Source organism: Homo sapiens, chromosome 6 (genome assembly GCF_000001405.40).
Source record: "Homo sapiens chromosome 6, GRCh38.p14 Primary Assembly".
Taxonomy (NCBI): Eukaryota; Metazoa; Chordata; class Mammalia; order Primates; family Hominidae; genus Homo; species Homo sapiens.
Window position 1 is genome coordinate 128,612,996 of NC_000006.12, and position 2,556 is coordinate 128,615,551.

Below are 2,556 nucleotides of genomic sequence, written 5' to 3' on the forward strand. Positions count from 1 at the left end.
GTATAAAGCGAAGTTGTTGATTTGAGACCTTTTTTGTTTTTTAACGATAAGTGTTTACAGCTATAGTTTTTTCCTTTAGCACCACTTTTGCTGTGTACCATAAGTTTTCGTGTGATGTAGTTTCATTTTTCATTTGTCTCTAATTATATTCTAATTTCTTTTGTGATTTCTTTGATCCATTGGTTGTTGAAGACTGTGCTGTATGATCCTTTTGTAGTTCACAAGCCTGATGATTGGGTTTTCATTCACGTGGATGAGATGCACCTCCCTCAAACCTGGTTGTTACAGCATAGGCACATTACTTGTCTAACACGAAAAAAAGGAAAAAGGAGTGTGCTGTGCAATTTCCACAAATTTGTGAAGTTTCTAATTTTACTTGTGTTACTGAGTTCTAATTTCATCCTGTTGTGATCAGAGAAGACAATTTGCATAATATTTATCTTTTATAATCCATCGAGAATTGGTGACTTAATATATTGTGTCTGGAGTTGGTTCCTCCTGGTGGGTTTGTGGTCTCCCTGACTTCAAGAATGGAGCTGCGGACCTTAGCAGTGAGTGATACAGCTCTTAAAGATGGCACGGACCCAAAGAGTGAGCAGCAGTAATATTTATTGTGAAGAGCAAAATAACAAACATTCCCCAGCACGGAAGGGGACCTGAGCGGGTTGCCGCTGCTGGCTGGGGTGCCCAGCTTTTATTCCCTTATTTGTCCCCACCCATATCCTGCTGATTGGTCCATTTTACAGAGTGCTGATTGGTTCACTTTACAGAGCACTGATTGGTCCATTTTACAGTGTGCTGATTGGTTTTACAAAACTCTAGCTACAGAGCGCTGATTGGTGTGTTTTTACAGAGCATTGATAGGTGCATTTTACAAACCTCTAGCTAGCTACAGAGTGCTGATTGGTACATTTTTACAGAGCACTGATTGGTGCATTTTACAAACCCCTTGTAAGACAGAAAAGTCCTCCAAGTCCCCATTCGACCCAGGAAGTCCAGCTGGCTTCACCTCTCAATATGATATATCTTGATAAATATTCCATGTGTACTTGAGAAGAATGTGTATGCTGTTGATGTTGAGTAATGCTCTGTATGTGTCTGCTAGATCTAGTTGGTTTGTGTTGTGTTCTATTTCCTTTCTTATCATCTGTCTGATTGGTGTCTTCATTATTGAGAGGGGAGTACTGAAATCTTTAACTATTATTGTAGAACTATATTTCTCCCTTCATTTCTGTCAGCTTTTGCCTCATATATTTTGATGGTCAGTTATTAGATGCATGAATGTTTATAGTTTTTATATCTTCTTTCTGTATTGAACATTTTAATTTATAATGTCCTTCTTTATGTCTTTTTCACTTTTTGGATTTAAAGTGTATTTTCCCTGATATTGGTATAGCCACTGCTGCTCTCTTTTGGTTACTATTTGCATGGAATAGCTTATTTCTTTTTTTCTTTCTTTTTTTTTTTTTAAATAAACACATTTTTTTTTTTTTTTTTTGAGAGACAGTCTCCCTCTTGTCCAGTCTGGAATGCTGTGGTGCAATCTCAGCTCACCGCAACCTCTGCCTCCTGGGTTCAAGCAATTCTTATGCCTCAGTCTCCAGAGAAGCTGGGACTACAAGTGCACACCACCACCCCCGGCTAATGTTTTGTATTTTAGTAGAGACAGGGTTTTATCATGTTGCCCAGGCTGATCTTGAACTCCTGACCTCAGGCAATCTGCCCACCTTGGCCTCCCAAAGTGCTGGGATTATAGGTGTGAGCCACTGCACCCAGCCAGAATAGCTTTTTCTATCATTCCATCTTTTTTTTTTTTTTTTGAGATGGAGTTTTGCTCTTGTTGCCCAGGCTGCAGTGCAATGGCACAATCTTGGCTCACTCCAACCTCCGCCTCCCAGGTTCAAGTGATTCTCCCACCTCAGCCTCCCGAGTAGCTGGGATTACAGGCGTGCGCCACCACCTCAGATAATTTTTTGTATTTTTAGTAGAGACAGGGTTTCACCATATTGGCCAGGCTGGTCTCAAACTCCTGAACTCAGGTGATCCACCTGCCTCAGCCTCCCAAAGTGCTGGGATTACAAGCATAAGCCACCATGCCTGGCCTATCATTCCATCTTTTCACTTTCTATCTGTTTGTATTTCTAAATCTAAAATGAGTCTCTTGTAGACAGCATTTAGTTGGATCATGTATTTTTAAATCTATTCTGCCAGTATGTATCTTTCAATTGGAGAGTTTACTCCACATTTATTTAAAGTAATTACTGATAAGGAGGACTTACTTCTGCCAGTTTGCTATTTGTTTTCTATATGCCTTATACTTTATTATCCCTCAGTTCCTGCATTACTGTCATCTTTTGTGTTTAGTTGATTTTTTGTAGGGAAGTGTTTAAATTTATTTCTCATTTCCTTGTATATAGTCTGTAGTTATTTTCTTTATGGTTGTCATGAGGATTACATTTAACATCTTAAAGTAATAACACTGTAATTTAAATTTAAACCAGCTTAACTTTAATACTATACAAAAAGTTTACTCTGTTATAGCTTCATCCCCACTTA

The 2,556-nt window shown here is 38.7% G+C and overlaps 1 non-coding gene across 1 annotated transcript; it reads left to right on the forward strand.

Annotated features, from left to right (window-relative positions):
• Positions 1 to 205: 205 nt before the first annotated feature.
• Positions 206 to 312, forward strand: LOC124901543 (small nucleolar RNA U13). The gene has a single exon (XR_007059974.1). It is a non-coding gene; the product is annotated as a small nucleolar RNA U13 (small nucleolar RNA).
• The last annotated feature ends 2,244 nt before the right edge of the window (positions 313 to 2,556 follow it).